Source organism: Homo sapiens, chromosome 1, assembly GCF_000001405.40.
Source record: "Homo sapiens chromosome 1, GRCh38.p14 Primary Assembly".
In the NCBI taxonomy this organism is placed as follows: Eukaryota; Metazoa; Chordata; class Mammalia; order Primates; family Hominidae; genus Homo; species Homo sapiens.
Window position 1 is genome coordinate 78,984,449 of NC_000001.11, and position 23,205 is coordinate 79,007,653.

The following is a 23,205-nucleotide window of genomic DNA, read 5'->3' on the forward strand; positions in this document are numbered from 1 at the left end:
ATTCATCTAGGCAGAAAAGGCATGACATCTCTGAGAGGTAAACTTGAGACTAGCCTCAATCTTGACATGACAGCAGTCAGTGACAAAAGGCACAAAATGTAGTGTATGCAAGTTCTAATGATGACAGTTTGACTTAAAAATAGTGTGTCGAAACAAGTTTCCCAAGTGTAGGAGGAACAGTAAGACATTTTCAAATACAGAAGAAAGCAGACAACAGAGTAGTCAGAAACCTTTCTTAAAAAACACACACACACATATTCAATAAAGAAATTTAGCTAGTTAATAATTGCATTTAAAAAAATTCCTAGAAATTTCTCCTAGAAATGGAGAATCTATAGTGAAAATAACCCCGGATAGGGCTAAAACCTTTTCAACATAAACGGAGAGTAAATTACCGTGGGACTCATGGTAGAACAGAATGTCAACGCTATAACCCTTTACAAAGCAATAACATGCAGATAAAAAGGAAAAAGAGGGAGGAAGACGTGTTAGTATGGCAAATGGTCAACTAGTACTGTCTGAAATCTAAATGAGTTGTTAAAAATTCTCAGCACCTATATGTATATATATTTGCTTATATTTATATAGTTAATTTAAAATTTATTTGTTTTGTGGTTATAAATATAAATCTGCAATCAACAATTATTTCCATTTCATTTTAGTCTCTTTTTTCTTCTGTTAAATTATAATAAAATGGGAGTGGACTTTCAGTGAAATAGCATGTAAACAACAATCCAATATTTATAATAGTCTATCATTCTATCTATCTAACCTTTCTCTCATCTATTCTCTAATTTATCTATAATCTATTTTGATAGGTGTCCATGCATAGAAAGATACTCTGAATTATATTAACTAAATACATAAAAGCAGGCTTACAAAGTAAGGATTTGAGTGATGATTTGCTTTTTCCCTTGACTTTTTCAGTGGCTTAAAATTTTTGCAATAAGTATATATTACTTTTATCAAAACAAAATATGCTGAAATGGTATTTAGAAACAAAAGCATAGAGTTTATTACTTATTTGATCAATTTAAGAATAGTATGTTAATTTCGACCTTTAACTGTTGTTACACAATTGGTATAATATATTTCCTCCAATGGTAATTTGAGATTTGTTAATAACTATTGCATAATCTCTCATTTATCATCTAAATGAAGACAGAAAACCAGGGACAAAAATTATATATAACAACTTCCTCTTAAATGTCAAAAGATAGGGGTAGGAAAGCTTAAGCAATATATAAGACATGTGAAAGACATACATGCATGCGTATGTTTATCATAGCACTATTCACAACAATAGTGAAGACATGGAATTAACCTAAATGCTCATCAGTGGTAGACTGGATAAAGAAAATGTGGTATATACACACTATGGAATACTATGCAGCCATTAAAAAGGACGAGATAATGTTCTTTGCACCAACATAGAGTTAAAGGCCATTATGCTAAGTGAACTAACACAGGAACAGAAAACCAAATAATGCCATGTTCTCCCTTATAAGTGGGAGCTAAACATTGAGTATATGTGGATATAAAGAAGGGAACAATACACACTGGGGCCTACTCGGGGGTGGAAGAAGGGAGGAGGGTTAGGATCGAAAAACTGCTTATCAGGTACTATGCTTATTTACTGTTGGCAAAATAATCTGTACATCAGACCTCTGTGACACACAATTTACGTATATAACAAACCTGCACATGAATCCTTGGACCTAAACTAAAGGTTAAAAACAATAATAATAACAATCACATAAAAAACAAAATAAAATAACATTTTTGCCTTTTGAAAAAAAATGTGATTCATATTTAAGTTCTTATACAGCAGAACTATGACTAATTGACTTTGTCTTTTGGCGGTGAAATCTACAACCAAGTTGTTGATGTTTTTGTAATCCTAGCATTTGGGAGGTCAAGGCAGGAGGACTGTTTGAGGCCAAGAGCTCAAAACCAGTTTAGGCAACAGAGTCAGACCCTGTCTCCATGAAATACAATAAGAAAAAAGAAAAAAGAAAATTAACTGGGTGTGTTGGTACATAGACACAGCTACTCTGGAGGCTGAGAAGAAAGAATCACCTGAACTCAGGAGTTCAAGGCTGAAGTAAGCTATGGTTGAGCCACTGCACTTCAGCCTGGATGACAGAATGAGACTCTATCTCAATAAATAAATAAATAAATATTTTAAAAATTAAAAAGCAATATACATTACTTTTTGAATAGTTGGGGTAAAAGTAAAATTTTTCAACTTATAAAATAACATTCAAATTGGAATGCAAACTGTGCTTTCACTAAAATTAAAATATTTTCCCAGTTATTCACTCATCATAACTAAGAGTAGCTGGGGTCCTATTTGAAATAACTATAAATAATCTAAGTTAAAACCTCAAAATGATCAAAAATAGTAAAAATGTATCTTGGATAAAAGATTAGATAGAGTCTAAAAACTAATTTGACCACAAGGGAGGTGTTCTGTAGCAATAAGATGCTTTGAAAGCATATATATCATGAAACTAACGAGGTATGTCATGAAACAAAGTAGATAAATCATGACACGATGGTATCATTTAAACAGGATAGTTTGGAAGGAGATGTCAGTGCTATTTTAAGTAGTAAATTTTCAGTCTCAGATAATTTTTTTTACCAAGAATATTAGTTAAAAGTACCTGCAAATCTCAATATCTAAATCACTATCTAATTGAAAGCATAATAATTATAATTTCCACACATGATTTAAGATAGCTACATAGTATATAAATGACAGGTCATCGTGATATACTATTTATTGAATGACTCAGCAATAGCAGTTTTGTCCAATTCCAATGGGGAAACGCACTCCAAAGTGTGTGCAAAGCCATCCATTGACATATAGGTAAAAATGGTAACATTTCTTCATTTATTTATATCTTATACATTTCTGGTTTGGGGTGTTTTGTAATGTAAGGTGGGGTAAATATAAAATAAACAAATGTATATACATTGGATGTACAGTGTAAATAATTTTCATGAATCAGGATAAAAAAATTACCACCATTAATTAAAATAAGATTGATTCCCAATACAACTAAAAATTTGGAAGTTATTACTCAATCCACTGTACTGAGAAAAATTTTAGGACAATGTCTAGTCAGTGCTGATAAGGGATACCATGATGGTTATCTAGCTGGTAGAAGAACAAAGTATGTTATTGGAACACTAATAGTTAGGTTCGAACCTTACTATACAGCATTCTACTCCAGGCACTGGCAAATATTCTTGATTAATTTATATGGAGAGTTTCTTTGCTGCTATCTTTTCCTTTTCAATATTGCATGACTCTTATCATTTTCCAAGACAGGCCACATTTATTTGCCCTTTTGTCCTTACCCCTGAAGCTTTAGAAATAGTATGAGACATAAATTAGTGAAAGGGAAATTATCCAAAGGAACATTCAATCTTATTGCTCTATTGTCTTTTTTTAATACATACTAATCATACCATAATTTTTAGATTTATAGTAAAGTAATATTTATTGCATCATTATTTAAATTTTTAAAATAGCCACTGCATTTTTTTTGTTTCTGTAATTTAGGAATATTGACCAACTAGTAGGAAACTTGCAAAATGTATTAGAATTTAAAATAACATACTTAAAAGAAAAGCAATTTAAGGTATAACCTACTGTTTTCTTGGCAAATTACAAAATGAAAGTAATGAAAAACAAATGTTATTATATCAAGAATTTAAACAGTTTATTTCAGGGCATTTTAGAAAACTTAAGTTGATGATCAGCTTTTTGACAATTAATTTGAAATGACAGTTTGAAAAAAAATAGGAATAAGTTTAGAATTAGTAGAGCCAGGCAGGAGTTTCTCCCTCTGGCCAAGAGTTAAGACATCTATTCTGACTTTATGAAAACATACTGTTGAGATTTAGTTGCAAAAGGATTCCTTCACAGAATTCATATTTAGCTCTCTACTTTTCATTTATTGGAAAAGTTTCCAAAAACTAGAGAGGGTTCAAATGCAATGAGCAAATATTAGATCATCTACAGTTAACATAAATTAAACTGTAACTCAGAAATGTTGCTGAACTGAATGAAGGTGTCTTGATACATTTCCATACAAATCTATCTTTGTTCAAGATAAAATACTACACTGATGAATGCCTCAACAGCCATGGAACAGAACCCTGACAGAGTAATTCCAGTCATCCCTCTCAACCAGTTTCTGTCAATGAACACACATCACTTCTCCTAGGCATTGAAAATCCTAAGTGATGTCTCACAAGGTGAGTCTACAGATCCATGATTTTTCTCAAAGTTTAAGAATCTACCTGGAGATTACGTGAATCACTTGAGAGGCAGGACACCAAATTCGTCTTTAAAACAAACAAAGTTGTGCTAATTATTCAATCTTTCCACCCTGCAAAATGAATTTTCTTCCATTTTTCCCAGAATTAAAAATATATATGTACTTCTCTATTCTAATAAGCTTTATGCCGAAGTATTCTGCAAGTCTTTTTACAAATTTCATAATAATAATTAAAAGAAACTTCATATATACTAAAATCTGTCATCTATCATTTATTTCGTATATTTTAAGTAACTAATTTCAGTAAAAGATTTGTTAAGCCAAACAAAAATATTTAAAATTTTATAATATAGACACTTATTCAATTTCTGTGTAAATTTCATTATTTCCAAGAAATGAAAACTGTGACAGATATTAATATATTTGTTTCCAAATTTTGATAATATTCACATTAAACTATTTCAAGAATTTATACTTTTAAAATCTATTTTTGTATTGTACTTTATATCATAGCATGCTTTCAATGCTAACCATCTTTTTTAGATAATTGAATGTATTGATATACATATGATTTAGGAAAAGTTAGTTCACAGATTGTCTTTGTAAACATGCTTCTACTTTAAATACAGTCATCCACCATACTGACCAGGTGATTGGTACAAAGGAAATTAAAGAAACTTATTCTTTAAAGAACGCTTACTTTCTTACTTTAATAATTAAATAAATTTTTATTTTGTTTTTTTTCCTTTGGACACAGTGAGCTAAAAATATAAGTTAAAGATTAGTAAACTGGTAAAGAATGGGGAGTAATATGTTCTTCTTCTAGGTATGTCCCGAAGTGCCCGTTATGTGTTGTAGTTTGTGGAGTTTGGGAAAAGCAGAAGAGCATCTTGTTATCTATGTAACCCTAGCATCAGAATCTTGCAGCCTAGATGATCTTAATCAGGTGTCCTGAATGGTTTGGGAAAGTAGAAAGAGACTGAACCCATCAAAAACAATTTTGTCAAAAAGTGATTGACAGATTTACAATGTAACAGTTATCACTTATTAAAGCCTTTCTATATGGCTGGGGTTATAACTAAGTCCTTTAATTGTATTTTCGTCTTTAGTCTTCAAAAATGATTTTGTTGCTGATAAAACTATTTACAATCCACAGATGTAGAAACTGGTAGATGCCAGGACCAGGGTTTGATTCCAGGGATGCCTTCTTTAGAAAGTCTGCTTCCTCCAAGGCCCTGACTCTCACAATAAGCTGTAATTCTACTTCCCATTGATTATCAGGATATTTTCATCAGGTTTTGATCAATCTTGATTGAAATCATCAATATTTCATTTCTGAATCAAAAAAGCTGAGGATCCTTTTTACCTCAGTGGATCTCCATCATAGTGCTTCATCCTCAAAACTATTTTGAAATAAGCAAGCCATTTTTCCCTTCTATGTTTATTATCTGTACTCGATATCTAATTTTGAACACTTGTCATACTTCAGAATTTTATTTTTAATTGTACTCTCTAAGTGTGTCATATTTCTATCCAATTTTAAACACTGCTGGAAGAAAAATTTTTTTCATTAGTTAAGAAATTGATATGGAATTATTAAGGCATTACTAGTAATAAGTCCCCTGTTCACAATTTAGGAATCACTGGAATCTTCTATTAAAAAGCTATCACCAATAATTGATAAGACTTAGGTTTGGCTTTCTTAACACAATAATGCAATTTTTCCTATGGATTACAATCTGAAGACTTGCTTAAATTCAGATTAACGCTATACTTATTTATTCTTAAAGCAACCATTTGATTTTTTTCAAAGGAGAAGTATAAAGGGATTGTTGACTATAAAACAACAATTAATGCTTTTACTGAAAATTTTTTTAATATATTTGTCTACAAATAAACTGAAATTCAAAGACCAAAACACATTTAAAAGACCATTCTTCTCCACATGATATTCCATTGGAAACTGCTGCAGCGAACATAACATTAGTTGAAGAAGCATAACACTAAAATCAAGCATCTGCTTGCCTTTCTGCATTGTGTATACAACAGAGATTTGTTGTACTTTTAAAAAATATTCTCAATAGGTTTCTGTGTTTATAAAGGTCCAGAAATAATCTTCAGAACTTATCCTCCATACGGCACCAGGAAATCTGGCATAAGAACCTTTCTGACACAAAGGATATACAACTCTCTTATTTCAAAATATCAATAATTTGCCACAAAGGCAAAACTATCAAGCAAGTGTTAGAAACACCTCAGCTTCTGTTCAATCTCATGAAAACTGATTTAGTTGCCGGTACATGTCAACTTTAATTATCAAAAATGCATAAAAGACAGCAGCACATTCCTTCCCCATGCTAGTTGTAAATGTTAAATACAACTTCAATTATGTTTTTAATACTAAATTCTTTAAGACTTACGATGTGTTCTTGTCCTTCAGAGGGCCAAAAGCACGAAGTGCTAGATAAGCATGACCTACATTTTGGTTCTGATGTTATATACACAAAAGAGGAATAAGTGAAGATGTGCAGTGCATGTGTCTGGATAATTATTGTATAGATAACTTATCTGGTTAATCAAGCCCCAAAAACCTCATGGGAAGTACATATTTTGGCGTTCTTTGTGCAGAATTTACAAATTTCACAATTTGCTTTAAGTATCTTCTGCAATTCTTTCTCCTGTGTAAATACAATTAGAGTTAATATCGGTTAAATAAACTAACACTTAAGGTATGGAGAATGCTGACAATTTAGTACTTTCACTGTATTCTAACTTCTTTAAAATTACATTCCAAAATTTAGTGAATAACTGAAATAACAACCTTTAAGTCTCGATATGCTCATCAGCACATATTTTCATATTTAAGATTTAATAAATATAACCTTTGAAATATGTGAAAATATAATATAGTATATTTAATATGTGAGAAATATAACTCCTAAATAAATTGAAAGACTTCACCTTCAATATAGTCAACCAACTAAGTATAATGTTAATTACACAAAACCTACTTGCTATTCAATAGAAGGAGATTATTTCTGCTCCCATAGTAGCAAAAAGTAGTTTACATCCTTCTAATGGCAAAAAGGGATTAACTTGCTAGTACGGTGTGAAGGAATAATATGGTTCCAAGTATGTATGGTTCCTTTAACCTAGTCAATACACATTGCCAGATATTTCAATTAATGTGTACCAAGGTCACAAAATCAATTTCTTATCAGCCAAAAACACTCATACAGTAAATTTTATTCTCAAACCATAATCTCTAAATTAAATCTGTGTACCTAAAAAATACAGTGCAGTCAGTCAGTCACTGGGTTTTCTCCCTGATAGCATTTTCACAAATGGCACAAGACTTTGTATGCTATATTTAGACTACAATGTTTGGTTAGATTCTAATCTTCCTAGAGAAAGTCATTATCTCCTTTCATGGCAAATAAAGGACCAAAGTGTTAATTTCCTCCTTAAAATAAGTACAAAGTTTGAACAGTTAACATTCTGTCTTTCGGCAACTTATTTGGGAACTTTTAAACAATTATAAAGAGAATCTATGAAACTGTACACTAATCCGGATTTCTTGGTAATATAAATTATGTATCTGAATGTAAGATTGCAGAAAAATCATGTTAATATGGAAAACAGCATTACCTTGCAATAAATCCCATGCAAAAGGACTTTTCAGGAATTGAGCTTGTCTGACCAATAACACTCAACATAATCACATTTTTAATGAAAACTCTTTGACTTGAACATAAAATATTGTCTATTAGATTCAAGTGTTAGAGTTTGTTCCCTATAGTCCAACAGCCATGAAAACTTTTTTTTCCTCCTAATACTCTCATTCTTATCCTACTCACAACTACACACAAAAGGTTAATAATTTAAGGTTGGTGCTTTTCATCTATGCTCAATGGCAATGGACCAAATAGTTAAGGATAAAAGAATATTTCAATAATCTTGCCTCAGTGTTTTAATATGCAGAAAAATCACAATTTTTATGCCAGACAAATTTGATTTGTTCCATTTTTTATCAATCCAAATGATTGATACTTTTATACAAAAGCTATATAATATATACTGTACAGTGGTGTTCTGTCATACAGCTGACTAACAAACTATACAAATCTATGTAACTTCAGACCAATTGATGTTTGATGGTTGATACAACAGAGGATATTAAATTATATCTTGGGCAGAAAGGAAGTAGAAAATTATCCTGGATAATACATTTAGAATTTCTTAAGTTATTTTTTTCTACATTCTCCTAAACATGTAAATTTTAGTTGATTGTAACACTGCTTAACAGTAGAAAAATAATATTTTCTAGAAGAAAGTAACACTTAAGGAGGGTTAAAATACGTTTTTTTAATTTAAACCAAGCATTTTTTGAGGATGTACACAATATTTTATTTATAATCTTTATATATTGGCAATACAAAAGTTCTCATAAAATGACTTAAAGTTGTAGAGAGAAGGAATACTTTATTTCTTCCCAGTTGGTTTATGTGATCATGCATTCCATTTTAATCAAATTTAGGGCATGATAATAAACAAAATAAATTTTGTAAAATGTGAAATTGTAACAGCATAAAGTCTTTCACCTTTACACCTAAAATAAAAAATGATTAAACCTATAAAACCTCATCTTAAATAGTTTACTGAAGAATAAATTTAGCTCTACATAAAGTTGTGTTTATGAAGTTTGGTTCATTGGAAGTGAATGATAAATGTGAGACAAGCATTATGAATAACACATGGAGTAAAAGGAGTAAAATCATTTTTGTAATTAAAAAGAACTTAAAGTACTAATATGACTCTAAGCAAAAATTCCATTTTTTTTTTTTTTGAGATGGAGTCTCGCTCTCTCACCCAGGCTGGAGTGCAGTGGCAGGATCTCGGCTCACTGAAAGCTCCACCTCCTGGGCTCATGCCATTCTTCTGTCTCAGCCTCCCAAGTAGCTGGGACTACAGGTGCCCACCACCATGCTCGGCTAATTTTTTTTGTATTTTTTTTAGTAGAGACGGGGTTTCACTGTGTTAGCTAGGATGGTCTCGATTTCCTGACCTCGTGATCCGTCCGCCTTGGCCTCCCAAAGTGCTGGGATTACAGGCATGAGACACCGCACCCGGCCAAAAATTTCATTTTTCTAAGTGCCAGTGATTTTACACTTCCCAGAATTTTTGTGAAAAAATCAAAATCATATTTGATACATAAGATCCAAAAGAAAGTAGCAAAGCGATTCTTGGGACTCTGAAGGCTGCCTCAAAAACAGACCATTACAAGGCATTAGTGCCAATATTTCAGCTAACTCTGTCTTAGGAAATGTTACTTCCTTATTCCTGAAAATGTTCACAAAAGCAATAAATAAGTCAATGAAAATTCAGACTTGCATAGTTCATCCCTTAAAATGAAGTAGGAAAACAAAGATATTACAGAGCAAACCAATGTAAAGTTTATGATACTGAGTTTAATCATTTATGCAAATTTTTCATTTGGCTATGATGGATGCTCTGTATTTACAGCAAAATATTTGAGATGGGATTACATCTGAAGTAATCCCATTTCAGCCTTATACAACATATAACATTCAATCAGATCTAAGTGCTTGATTCTTGCAAGCAGAAATACCATTCACGGTCTTTCAATAAATTCAGCATAGGTAAAGAACAATAAAATGGGGCATCAACAAACCAGAATTGTCGCATTTTGCAGACTGAATTTTTGTAGTTTCCAAGGTTACAATAAAAAATAAGAACTAGCCATTCTCCTCAAAAGGGTAGTCATTGCTGGGATTTCCCAGTCACTAATGAAAAGCAGGCAGAGTCCATCGTCAGTTTAAAAATAAAATGAAATTATTTTTTCATTACTAGGATTAATTACTTTAGAGAGCATGATTAAAAACAAACAATTATTACTGACAGATAAAATTTTTTTAAAGCCTTGCAAAGAAAGTGGCATGTGAATCTGGTCTTGGACAGTAACCAGGTTTATAATAGTCCCAGTATTGAAAGGGTCTAATTTGTCCTCTGAGCACACATATATTTGATCATCCTGCCTCATTAGTTGAGCCTGGTGCAAAATTATTTTGATACCTGGCAATATATATTACCCTCAGAATGAATAAATGTAGCTTTTGGATTTACTTCCTAGCTGAGACTACTGCCTGTCTGATCAATTCTACTTTTACCATTCCTGAACATAAACACTCGTTAAGCAAAGATCTTTTGGAATTGCAACACAAAGATCAGTTTCACTATATACCATTTTGTTTTAGTTGTTAGTTACGTGGTAATTATAAAATCACATGAATTACAACCCTCCTGTCCCTTAAATGGATTTGTGCACCATCTTATTCAAAGGAGTACTCTCAATCACACATCACAGTGACTAAACCTTCCCAATAGGAGAGCAAATATAAAAATCATGGATGTAACAGCCTTCTACTTACGTTTAATGGTTCAAGTGACCCCGGTATAGCACTTCTCTCACTGATCATATGACATTTAATGTCTTACTTTTCAGCACTGTAATGCAGGAGGGGTCTCAGAAAATTGATCCAGAAATTCCTTCTGAGGGAGGAAACCACCAGAGAAAATATGGAAAAAACGCTTCCTTTATGTGCCAACTTCTACTGATTTGTAGCACCAGCCTGGTAATATTGGCAGAAGAACTTTCAAGTCACATCCTGGCTCATCAGGAAAGAGTATCATGGTGTGCCAGGTCATAAGTGGAGACGAGATGAGTACAAAGAGTAGATAAAGCATCTCCTGCATTGGTCATGCCAGCTCCAGAGATCAGAGTTTAACACAACTGTGTAATAAAGTGGAAAGGGCACTGAGCTTACAGGCAAGAGATCAAAATCCATCTGTTTCATTTTCATCTTTCAAATTGAGTCCAAAATCAAGGCTATTTGCCCAAGAATTAGTTGAACTGGAAAATGACTACAGTTCAAATACATGTATTACAATAGTAGAATCAAATAACTTTAAATCTTGTAGGGACATCAATAAAGATATTAGTCCAATCTGCTCATTTTAGGGAAACTAAGGCTTGGATGCTCTTTGTGACTTACGATGGGAATCTTAGTAGGACAGGGATAAAATATACATAACAAATTTGAAGACTTTAGCAAAGAAACACTAAAATTTATTATTAGAGAATCTAGTCACTGGAGCATAGGATACCAGGGGGATTTCAATTTGTAACGATGGGTTTTGGTTGTTGGAGCATAAGATATAAAATAGGAGTCCAATAATTAAAACGTGGAGGATAATAGATTAATCTAGAAATTATTTTATTATTAATATGATATACCACAAGATTTCTAATAAATTTCCCTTTACTTTAGACTAGAATTTGTCTCAGGAAAAAGATAAAGTAGTGGTTAAATGAAAGTAGATGGATGTAGAAATGGGAACTGAAGGGATTGACAGAAACTTTCTTGCAGTGGTCACTTGCCTTTCTGGCTGCATGGCATCTATTCATCCTCCTGATAACAGTCACCCAAATGTCCTTTTGAAAAGTACTTTCTCTCTTCTCACGATTTGAGTAGGTTTTTAGCCTAGGCTCTAGATATGGAGCTGCCTGATGTTAAGTCAGCTAATATATTCCATTACTACTTAAGGACATAAAGATTATAAAAAACTTAAATGTATAAATAAAAGTGACAGGTTGTGAAGTAAACTATACTCTTCTTTCATAGCAGGATATCAATGGATATTCCTTAAACATAAACTGAGAAGTGAAGGCACAGGCACATTCCATAGAAGATAAGTGGTCTTCTGTGGTTTCTTTTAATTGAAGGCTCATGACTTTCTTAAGCTTTGGGAAATTAATTTATGTCTTTTATTTTATCCTCTGCTAAATTTTGCCTGAATCCTTCTTCAGTAAGACTTCTATTAGATGAATATTAGGCCTTCCATGGTTGATCCTCTGTTTCTCAGTTTTGTTCTCTTATTTTCCATTTTGCTCTCTTATATTCCATCTTCGCTTTTTAGCTCTACAATTTGGGATGATTATTTCTCAGCCCATTGTTGTACATTATCTCATCAATTATCAGAAGATAAATATATTTTATAGCAGGTGAAAAAATACTTTAGGTTTGTTTCACAGGAAAAATCAAATTAGCCAATGAATTCAGGAAATCATTTGGGGTAAACACACAACACAGGGAAGAGATGATTACACTATTGCAACAACAAAAGTTACAAGTGAGTCACAAAATGAGTTTGAGTTCAATCAAATGAAGCAGAGGTTCTGCAACAATGATTAGCAGGTATGGACTCCATTACTGCATTAATGACATTTCAATGTAAAAATCACAGACAAACCATGCAGTTAGCGTGAGAAAACACATTGATGATCACCTTGTTTAACCTTTGAGATAAAGCACAGGAGGAATATAAAAAAAGGTCTGGACCTAGATTAAAAAAAAAGATTAAAAGAAGTCAAATCGGGATATAAAAAGGGGAATGGTACTGAGGTGATACACTCAAGAATATCTTGACTAATGCTGTCCTGGTGTATCTTCCACAGATACATAAATAAATTGAATATTTGCAGCTTCCCTATTCTATCCCGCAACCACCCTTGCAAGACAGAAAACCCAGGAATGGGAAACTTTAACCTCAATCTTATGGTGGTTTTTAGGCACTGGCTTGCATTACTGACAATTTTAGCAGCTTTGTATCTTGATACCTCTTCCTACGAAAGGAGAAGAATTAGAGAAAGAGTGTGGAAGAGGTTGAGCCATGCAAAATTTTGAGGTTATATCAAAGTAATAAGTTTTTTTTTGTTGTGTGATAGTTCTTTTGTACATAGAAGCCTCTTCTAAATTTTTGTAATTGTTTGGATGCAAAATTTTCCAGAATGTCTTTGAGCATATAAATCAGAGTGTTTTCTTCAACCTAAAAGTATGGCTTCTCTGGCAAATTTTTCTATTTATTCATCTAGGTGTTTATATTGTTCACTTTTCCTCAATGACTGGACTATCTTTAAATGACTCTCATATTTATAATTTAAAAAAAAATGTGATTATCACAGGTAACTTGCTCCAGATTTTGCCAGCTAGCCATTACCATCTCTGAAGTAAAAGAGATTTCAGAGTTTTCTGTAAACGCAGGTGGGTACAGTAATTTTGAGACATTATTCTAGGTAACATCAGTAAGGAGAAGACAGAAAGGTGGCATCAATTTTCAGTCTCAAGAGTTGCTTCCAGGCAGATGACCAAGTTTTCTTTGAGAGTATTTTCTTGACTTTATCTGGAGACAAACAACGAGGAATAGAATGTCCAATCTGTGTAGCCTTTGGAAAACAATGCCTCAAACAATCACCTAGATTTCTCTCCACTTCTGGGAAGAGGACAGGATCCCACCACCACAGGGGAAAGCCAGACTCTTTGCTGCAGGGTTCTTTATGTGCATTGAACTGCCCCCTTTTGTGGCATTTGACGCTGCTTTGAGAATTTCACTCTAATCTGTGGTCTTCTCATGGCCTCCCTCTGATTTCATTGCTTTTTTTTTTTTTTCAATTCACTTATCTTGATGGAGATTGATGAACAGGAGTTAAACTCTTGTACTTGACCTACGCATTTTATCAAGATATTAAAACTTCCACTGATTCTTTTTTTTTTTTTTTTTTTTTTTTTTGAGACAGAGTCTTGCTCTGTTGCCAGGCTGGAGTGCAGTGGCACGATCTCGGCTCACTGCAACCTCTGCCTCCTGGGCTCAAGCGATTCTCCTGCCTCAGTCTCCCGAGTAGCTTGGACTACAGGCATGTGCCACCATGTCCAGCTAATTTTTGTATTTTTAGTAGAGACGGGGTTTCACCATGTTTGCCAGGATGGTCGCTATCTCGACATGGTGACCCACCTGCCTCGGCTTAGCAAAGTGCTGGGATTACAGGCGTCAGCCACCGCACCCAGCCAGTTTCTTAAAATATCTTCATATATATATATGATTGTTTTGATAATGTAGCAGGGAAAAGGCAGATGGGTGTAGGGTAGAACCAAAATAATTCATTTTATCTCAATGAGATTCACTTTCTTTATTTGCAAACCTACACCACAGAGTAGTTTGAGGGTTATATGAGGCAATTGTTGGTATATACTTTCTCTGGCAAATTACTTAATCTATAAATTGGGGATAACACCAGCCCTTACTTCAGAGAACTATTGTGAGAATTAAATTTAAAAATTCATGTGAAGTGCTTAGAATAGTGTCTAGCTCACAGAAGTCACTAAAATCAACATCAATATATAATTTTTTTATTAAGCTGCAAACCTGAAACTTACTTAATAATTAAAGAGAGTAAATAAGGAAGAAGAGAAATAATGGGAACACAGATAAGTACAAGACTGGATAATTTACTTTTAAAATAACCAGGAGTTTACTAAGAAGTGTGCTGATGCCCTAAAAATTGGGACTATAGACAACTGACATTTCCAGAATAACAGAAATGTCATCAATTTTGCAAAATAAGGTTTGCAACCTTAAAATATTGACAAAAGAGTAGAACTATAATAAACAAAGCGCAAAATTTGGACTCAGTGATTTTGGGGGAAGTATTGGAAGTGCTATCTCTGCTATTTCTTTAGTCACCTTTCTACCAGAATTTTCATGGAAAAGCAGCAGGAATTAAAATGTATTATAATCCACATTTAGAATACAATTTTTTACAAACAATTAGCCCGGCGTCGTGGCAGGCGCCTGTAGTCCTAGCTACTCGGGAGGCTGAGGCGGGAGAATGGCGTGAACCCAGGAGGCGGAGCTGGCAGTAAGCTGAGATCGCACCACTGCACTCTAGCTTGGGCGACAGAGCGAGACTCCGTCTTAAATAAATAAATAAATAAATAGAATACAATTTTTATTTAGTTTTACATTCCTAGCAGCTTCAAAATATATGGCAGAACAGGAAATGTATGATGGTACAGTCACCGTGTTCACTTTGCATACAAAATGAACACAAGCTCTAGGAAAACCATATTCAATTTTTATTGTCATTGATCCCTTATCACTAATGCATATTATATGATACACATCTATAGTTATATCTATCTATCTATCTATCTATCTATCTATCTATCTATCTATCTATCTATCTACCTACCTACCTACCTATCAACTTTATAAACTGATGGTAGAGCCTGAAGTATAAACAGAAAATGGTATTCTTAATTTGGGAAAAAAATCAACATTGAAATAATGTCAACCCAGAAGGCATTTTTTTGTGCATAAGTAGAAAATACATTGTGCAAAGTCTTCTTTAAGATTGATTTGGTATAAAATTTTGCATAACATTTTTATTCTTAAAATTAGAACCCAGAAGCTGTGTGTTCATTTTTATTATTTCAGTTTCATTCTTCATCCTATTAGTTACTGGATATTACTTTTCTGGTTCTAAATATTCAATGAATCCATCTAGATAATACTGATTAAAAATAAATGAGGCTTCTACTTGAACAAAAATTTTAATTAGGTTTCATTATCGGTTACTTGGGAAAATCCAAAATCATATGTTCATATTAAACCCTACTTTAAGATTTCAAGAAATTTCTTAGTTGTACCTGATTAATTCTTGGTAATTATCCTGTTAGATAAACATGAAACAAGATGATTTGGAAAAATGATTCCTAAAACTTAGTCTGTAAAGCTGACCTTAATGAACCAGGTCAGCGAAGTCTTTGGTTTTAAAACTGTGGAACTAGTCAGCAAAACTCAAATCACACAGGCCCCTTTCCTTCTCTTTTCAAAGTAAATATTAACCTAAAGAAAGTTTTTACAATGGTTTATTGATTTATTTTCCTCTTTCTATATACTGATGGAATGTGTAATATTGTTGAGTGGATACTTTTGAGGAAGTTCCACCTAATTATTGTGGTAGCTATCTCTACTGCAGAACCTTTCTTGTGAAGAGAGAAAAGAGGTCATATTTCTAGTACAAAGAAAAGAATTTCTGAAATTGGCAAGATATTTTATTTATTTGAATGAAGTTTACAGAAATCATGATCCTGGAAGGTAAACCCTGGGTTAATTTAGACTATAATCTCTTAAAGAGGTTACATTTCCCATTTAATACAGAAACCCTAAAGAAATATAAACCTCTCTTTAAACAAATTTGATACATGACTCTCCAGTAGCACATCTGAGTTTATACTTTTTCAAGTTTGCTGTAGTATTCATTTAAGAAGCTCCTCTGAGATACGTAAAAATTCCCTAAGATTTTTAGTAACATATCTTGTACATGAAGCAAAACATACATATAATATTCGTGAGATATATACTTGTAATTTTTGAAATAATCCTTAAATATTATCTGAAAATCAGGAGCCACCTCCTTTTGAGGATTGTAATTTAAAAAACAAGAAAGAGAGAACGAAGGAAAAGAAGCAAGGAAGGGAAGGAGGAAGGAAGACAGAAGGAAGGAAGGAAGGGAGAGGGGGGGGAGGGAGGGAGGAAGGAAGGAAGGAAGGGAGGAAGGGAGAGAGGGAGGGAGGGAGGGAGGGAGGAAGGAAGGTATGAATGAATTATGAATGCTGGTCCGGGTACTACTCAACTCAATTGACTACTCCTAAATTTCAATACTTAAAAATAAAAGGACAAGAAAAGTTTCAGATGAACTACCAGAGGCTGATAATGTCTGATGAAAACTGAAAACAAATATTTTTAAAATGCTTAAGACAAAAAAGAAAGAAAGAAAGAAAGAAAGAAAAACAAAATATTTAGAAGCTACTATGAAAAATAGCTTCTCCAGAGGGACCTGAAGCAGTTAGTTTTGATAAACTCTATATTCTGGGTATGTGCTCTCACATAAGATACATATTTATACAATTTTAAGGCAATTTGTGAACTTCAACTTTGCTTATTTGTATAACACACTATCTCAGTGAATAAATAGACTAACTTTGGTGAGCAGACTATTTAATCCACTAGGATATGATAAAAATAAGCTGACAGACCATCTTTTTAGGTAAGCAAATTATACTGTTGTTATGCTAATTGCTTAGGGGTACCATTTTGTGAAAATGTCTAGTATGAAGGGGATACGATAAATATTGTAATTGCTAAAATAAGTAAATGATTTTGCCTTTTTCTCATTTTTTCAAGGTAGTTATGGTATTTTATCATAGAGGAAAAAGCTTGGTCTCTTCTTCAAAATGCACTGATATCTTTTAATTATTGTTTTTCTGCTTTGTGATGGTTATTTAAAAAAATGTTTGCATTAATAATTGCATTATGAATATATTTTCTAAATAAGCTGGTTTACCTCTAGGATTTGTTTCAGTAACATATTAGATTTATCTTTGTTACTTTAGGGTTAGAGACATTAGCAATTTCCTTTGGAAGTGGAATTCTGAAGAATTCCACTTAACGTTAATTCCGCTTATAATGTTTATAAGATAAATGCATGAAAATTATTCATTTATATTTCAACAAATAATGGAACATATACATCCAAATGAGAAGTAACAACTTGAAAGTCAATGCATTTATTACAGTCAGCTTGCTATTGCTCAAAACATCTCAAAAGTTTTCAAATTGTCTACTCCATGCTACTCATGAAAAAATGTCCCCCATATATTAGTTTATAACCATACAACGTTTTGAAAAATCATTTTGGCCATTAATTATTCCCTTTACTCATAGGCTGAAACCTAGAAGTTGAACATGTATGATATTTTTAAAGGAGTTACAAGAATTTCATGCCAGATATATATCAGAGGGCATATTTGTTGAGAAGGCAATGGGAATTAAGTCAGAATGTTAAGGGCCTAGACTTTATTCTGTTGACAAAGAAGAGCCATTGGCAGGTATTAAGTAGCCGAGTTACATGATAAATTATGTCTATTAGGAAATGACTCTGTTAGGTAGAATAAACTGAATTAGGAAGGGTCAACCAACCAAACAAGTGGTAGAGCTAATACTTGAATCCAAGTCGGTTTGATTCCACAGCCTGTACTCTTAATCAATATGCTTGACTATAAGGCCTCTGTTAATTAATTTTCTGGACTCAGAGGAGAGTAGATATTAGCTATTCTAATGTTGATGTGATTATGATAATGACGATCAAAGTGCTTAATAAACATCTGTTGAAATTAAAAAATGATTAAATTAAATAAATTCACTACGATTAAAGCTTATTTTGTAGGACCATGCAAAACAAATTATAAATTACTTGTTCAAAACTTGCTCTTTTAATATGTTTAGTGAGGTTGGGTTATTACTATAACATTTCTTTGGTACCTCTGAGAGAGACAAATTTTATGATAATGGCGATATTGAGGACAGAAAAAAGAAAACAAATTCGATTCCTCAAGAAATAGGCATCCTCTGTAGCTAATCTCCTGTCCAGTCATTTCATCTTGACATAATACCAATCTTAGAGAAAGATAGGAAAGGTGAGGAATCTCTTTAGAGACGAAAATGTCAACAAGAATCTTAAAACTCAAAATATAACCTAGACTATTCAGCAGTTGGGAATACAGTGTTTTAATTCTAAAGAGCATATTAACTATCCTGACTAAAAAAAGGTTAAAAACCTGTCAGTGAATTAATAAAAGGTGAAAAAGATGAAAACCACTGTTTGAACAGTTTTAAGAAGACACTACAAATCTCAGATAATAAACATCAAAACAAGTGTATATGGAGTTTTTTTTTTTAAACAGAAAGGGAATTTAAGTTTAACATGAACCTAAGAAAGAAACAAATTCCCATTACAAATTATGTTCTGTGTGAAAAGAAACTGCAGGCCAAAAGGTCTTAAAGAATTTTTTTTTTCCAATGGAAAATATTTTCTGTTTATTAGCTAGTTATTGACTTAGGCAGCAGGGGGAAAACAACTGCATTAGATAATGGAAGATGCGTTTTTAAAAGAAATCATTAGAAACGTGATTATAAGCTGGTTGGCTGCTAAAGGTCCAAAATGTGAAAATTTTTTTATGTTACTTATGCTAAGCATGGCAATTGAAAAGTATCTAAATAACAAAAAGGTAATGCTGGTTATGAAGTACTATGGTACAATTTGTAATGATTAGTGGAAAAGCACATTAATTTGTGAGATGCAGTATTTTGAAGGTCACTCAACTTTACACTTGCTACAATGCCATTCAATTAAATACACAATACATTTCTAAGATTATTTATGAAAAGAATTTTGTAATTCTTGTAAAATAGTATATTACAAATTCTGGCTGTTTATACAAGCAGAAGCGCCTGATTTAATGCACCATTAAGTGAACTGTAGCTTTGCTGTACATTTTTTAAATATTCAACCTAATTATGATGAAGTTTGGTCTTACTAAACACGGCATATTTAATCTTTTTAAAGAGCCTATATAATTCAATCACAAGATACAACTTGTTTTTGTTGTAAGCAAACACATGCAATATTAACAATATACAATATCCTGGCTTAATTAGAAAAAGTTCATGTTATCCTGAATACATTTAGGTGCATAACACCCCACAGCTATAATTTTAACTTGCTATTTAATTATATTTTAAAACTAATTTGTATGACCTAGTACTTTTCTCTCTCTCTCTCTCTCTTCTACACAGGACGTTGGTCTATGGATCCAGTTAAAACTAGATTTTACTGAAAATGAATTTAAAAAGATTGAGTGTGTTGGGGGAGTGGAAGATTGGGGTAGAGGTGACAACTACAGACACGAAATTACGTAAATTTGATTATCAGATGGTGTTCTGCTGATCAAATCAATGGGCTAAACTGCACCCTACAAGGATGCTTTGTGGCATTCTGTCTCTGGACAGTAGCATGAAGTTCTATGATTATAATCTACTTTTTCAAAAGATGACGTCTTTTCAAAATTCTCTCTTTCTCTTGTCATTTCCTATGCCCAGGGTATGCATGAGAAAACCATGAATCTCTTAATATCATCTCCAAATATAGGCGGTCAAGTACCTGTATATGTGGTATCATATACCATATAGGTATAAAAATACTTATATACTTGGTATCATGTAAAGAGGGTATATGAAGGCGATACATAGCAGTATACATTTCGTGAACTCTTTTGTTCCCAAAGCTGTTGACTATGCCCTCTACACCTGGATCTCCAGCATGAGCTAAAAGGAAATCTTTAATATTTGCACCAAAAAATAAGATATGCATGAAGTCTTTTAAAATCAGTAACAAGTATAAATTTTGACATGGTAAGTCAAACTTACTGTTTAGCTACTTACGCGTTTTTTAAATAGTATGAAATTAAACAGTATAACACAAAACAAGTTAGTTTCTGGAGGACAGAAAAGCAGTCCCATCAGAATTTAATCTTACAGTATAATCCAAAAGAAGTAACAAAGCTTGTTTACCTTCACAAATTGTGACACCATTTCCTGAAAATCCCATGTTGCAATAGCAGGCTTCAATTCCATTGCGTATTTCACATTTTGCATTTGGGAGACAAGGTGTCTTGGTGCAATTTTGAGTATAGGAACAATTCAACAAAGTGGAAAAAACCACTAAATAAAATAGAGAAATACACCTTTTCAAAAAGTAAAACAAACATCTCTCCCCATTGTTGAATTAGAGTATAATAAACATAAATTATCCTCTCTTTCTATTTAGATAAATGGATTATAAATTTTTCCCAAGAGAGCACTTAGCTAAGTAACAGCACAAAAGCAAGTAAGTAAAACTTACTTTTAAGATGAAGGCTTTTTTTGTTCCAATTTCAACCTTTATCAAGTAAATCTCAATGAAACTAAAATGTAATAAACAACTCAGCTTTATAATAAAAACTGTGTTCCCAGATCAGTATAGCATGTTGATTAAGTGTTACCCTTCATTCTGAGGTGAGATACTTTGAAAGGGAACTGCCTGATTGTAAAGCAATTTCCCTCCTCTGGGAGTAATCCTGTGTAGAAATGAAGGTAAATTGAGTATTCAGGTTTTTGCAAATTCAAATCTGTGTTATTTTAAGATGACATCTTATCTAGGAGAACAGATGCACTTGCTGTTTTTTTCTGTGTTCTAATGATTGTTTTCAATTTCAATTGTTTTCAATTTCAATTTCAATTGTTTTCAATTCAATTATTCATAATAAAATTTATTTCACTGTTTTTATTTTCCATTAGGGGAAATTTAAAAACAAAACAAAAACAAAAAAAGAAACTCAAGATTATAGTCAAAGATTGATCTTCCAGAAATGGAACAGCACACAAATGTGAACAAAAAAAAATGAAACAAAACAAGGAACAAGACTATACATCAGAGTTATTGAAATACATTTGGAAATTATATGTTGTGGACTGATAGGAAAAAATAAGGAAAAGTAAAGTCGGTTCCTTTTTTATTGTTTTACCAGGCCTACTCAAGAGTCTTGAGGACCAACAGCTATGAAGCATGAGGTCATTGTTCTGAAAACAGTCATCTAACATTAGTTGTCCTTATCAGGTACCAAGAGATTCTTAAGTATTCTGTTCTAAATCCCAGTGGCAAATAACTATGTATACTGACTAAGCCGGAATTAGTTCACCCTCGGAGATGTCATTTACTATCTTTCTGCACAGTATGTTCAAAATGAAGCTCAAATCTGGCCCGGCAATCCCCTTAAAATGCCAGGAAACCTCTCATGGGTGTTAATGGTCTGGATTTCCCAAATTTCTTCGGGGCAGAACAGAAGAAAGGTGAAAGGGGATGCTGGACACTTCCTCAAGAGGAATAAAAAGGTAACATTCCCTGGACCTTGGAATATTCAACTTTAGAGTTGAAAGGTCAAGGAGAAAAACATCCTGAGAAGTACTAAATCAATTCTCCTCGGAGATTTTGCCAAATACACTTGCCATGTGAGCTCCACCTCTTAAAAAATCCAGTCCCCTACAAGGGATTGGTCCCTCCGACGACCTCGGCGACCAGGGGCGCTGAGCACTCACCTAGGAGCGGGAGGCGTTTCATTGGCGGTGGCCGCAGTGGTGGCGGTGGCGGAGAGCGCGGCGGAGTGAGTGCGGCTGTGGACCCGGGACCGGGCGCCGCTGGGCGGGCGCGGCAGGGTCCCGGATCCGTCCTCCGTGACGCGCCGGCTTCCTCCGGACACTTTCCGGCCTCTTTTGTGTGAGTGTGTGAGTCAAGCCCTGAATCCGCTGGCCACGTCCGGCCTCCATCCCCTTTCCCCACGCCTCCTGGGCTCCATTCCCTGCCTAGTGACCACTGACCCTGAGCAATGTTACAGCCCCACTGAGGAATCAGTTTATCCCCAGGCGCAGCTCCCAGAGTGACACCCTAAAAGTGAGTACTTAAAAAGCAAAGGTCTCTGAGATCCACGGAGAGCCCCTCCAGAGGGAGCATCCAAAACTCAGTAGGTTTCAGGGGTTCTCTCTGACACCTAAATTTCAAGACATAGCCTTTTTTTTAATATACTCGCCAATAAATTTTCCTAAAGAACAATGGGTCAAGAAGTAGTCAGGAGACCTGAATCCATGCAAAGGGGCATGCCAGTGCTCAGGCCCCACCTTGCTGGGACTCAGGGTTGCATCGTGTAAAATAAGGATATAGTCTATTGTGTCTAGGTTAGATTGTGTTTTCCATTATCAACTCAATTTCAGGTAAAATTCACCTGTAGCCCTTCCTTACATCTGCAGAAAAATTGGTGCATCATATCCTTTGCATGTTAATATACAAGTCGATTACGTAGAAAGAGATCGTCCACATTGGAACATGGAAACAATTCTAGCTTAAAAAATTAAAAATAACTGGCAGACAAAACTAATGTATCATGACAGAAAATAGATCAATGGTTGCCCAGGGTTGGGATGCAGAAGAGGGACTGACTGCAGAAAGGCACAAGGAGAAATTGAGGTGATGATAATATTCTATATTTTGATTGAGGTGATGGTTGCATGAGTGCATGCATTTGTCATAACTTATCCAACTGTATTCTTAAAACTGGTGCATTTT

General features: G+C 33.6%; 1 protein-coding gene across 1 annotated transcript in view; it reads right to left on the reverse strand.

Annotated features, from left to right (window-relative positions):
• Positions 1 to 22,282, reverse strand: part of ADGRL4 (adhesion G protein-coupled receptor L4) — a 116,967-nt gene extending 94,685 nt beyond the window's left edge. The window contains exons 1-2 of the mRNA NM_022159.4: positions 22,185 to 22,282; positions 20,622 to 20,771 (exon numbers count right to left, since the gene is read on the reverse strand). Coding sequence (NP_071442.2) covers positions 20,622 to 20,771; positions 22,185 to 22,206 — 172 coding nt within the window. The 5' untranslated portion in view covers positions 22,207 to 22,282. The remainder of the gene's footprint in view (positions 1 to 20,621; positions 20,772 to 22,184) is intronic.
• Between the last annotated feature and the right edge of the window lie 923 nt (positions 22,283 to 23,205).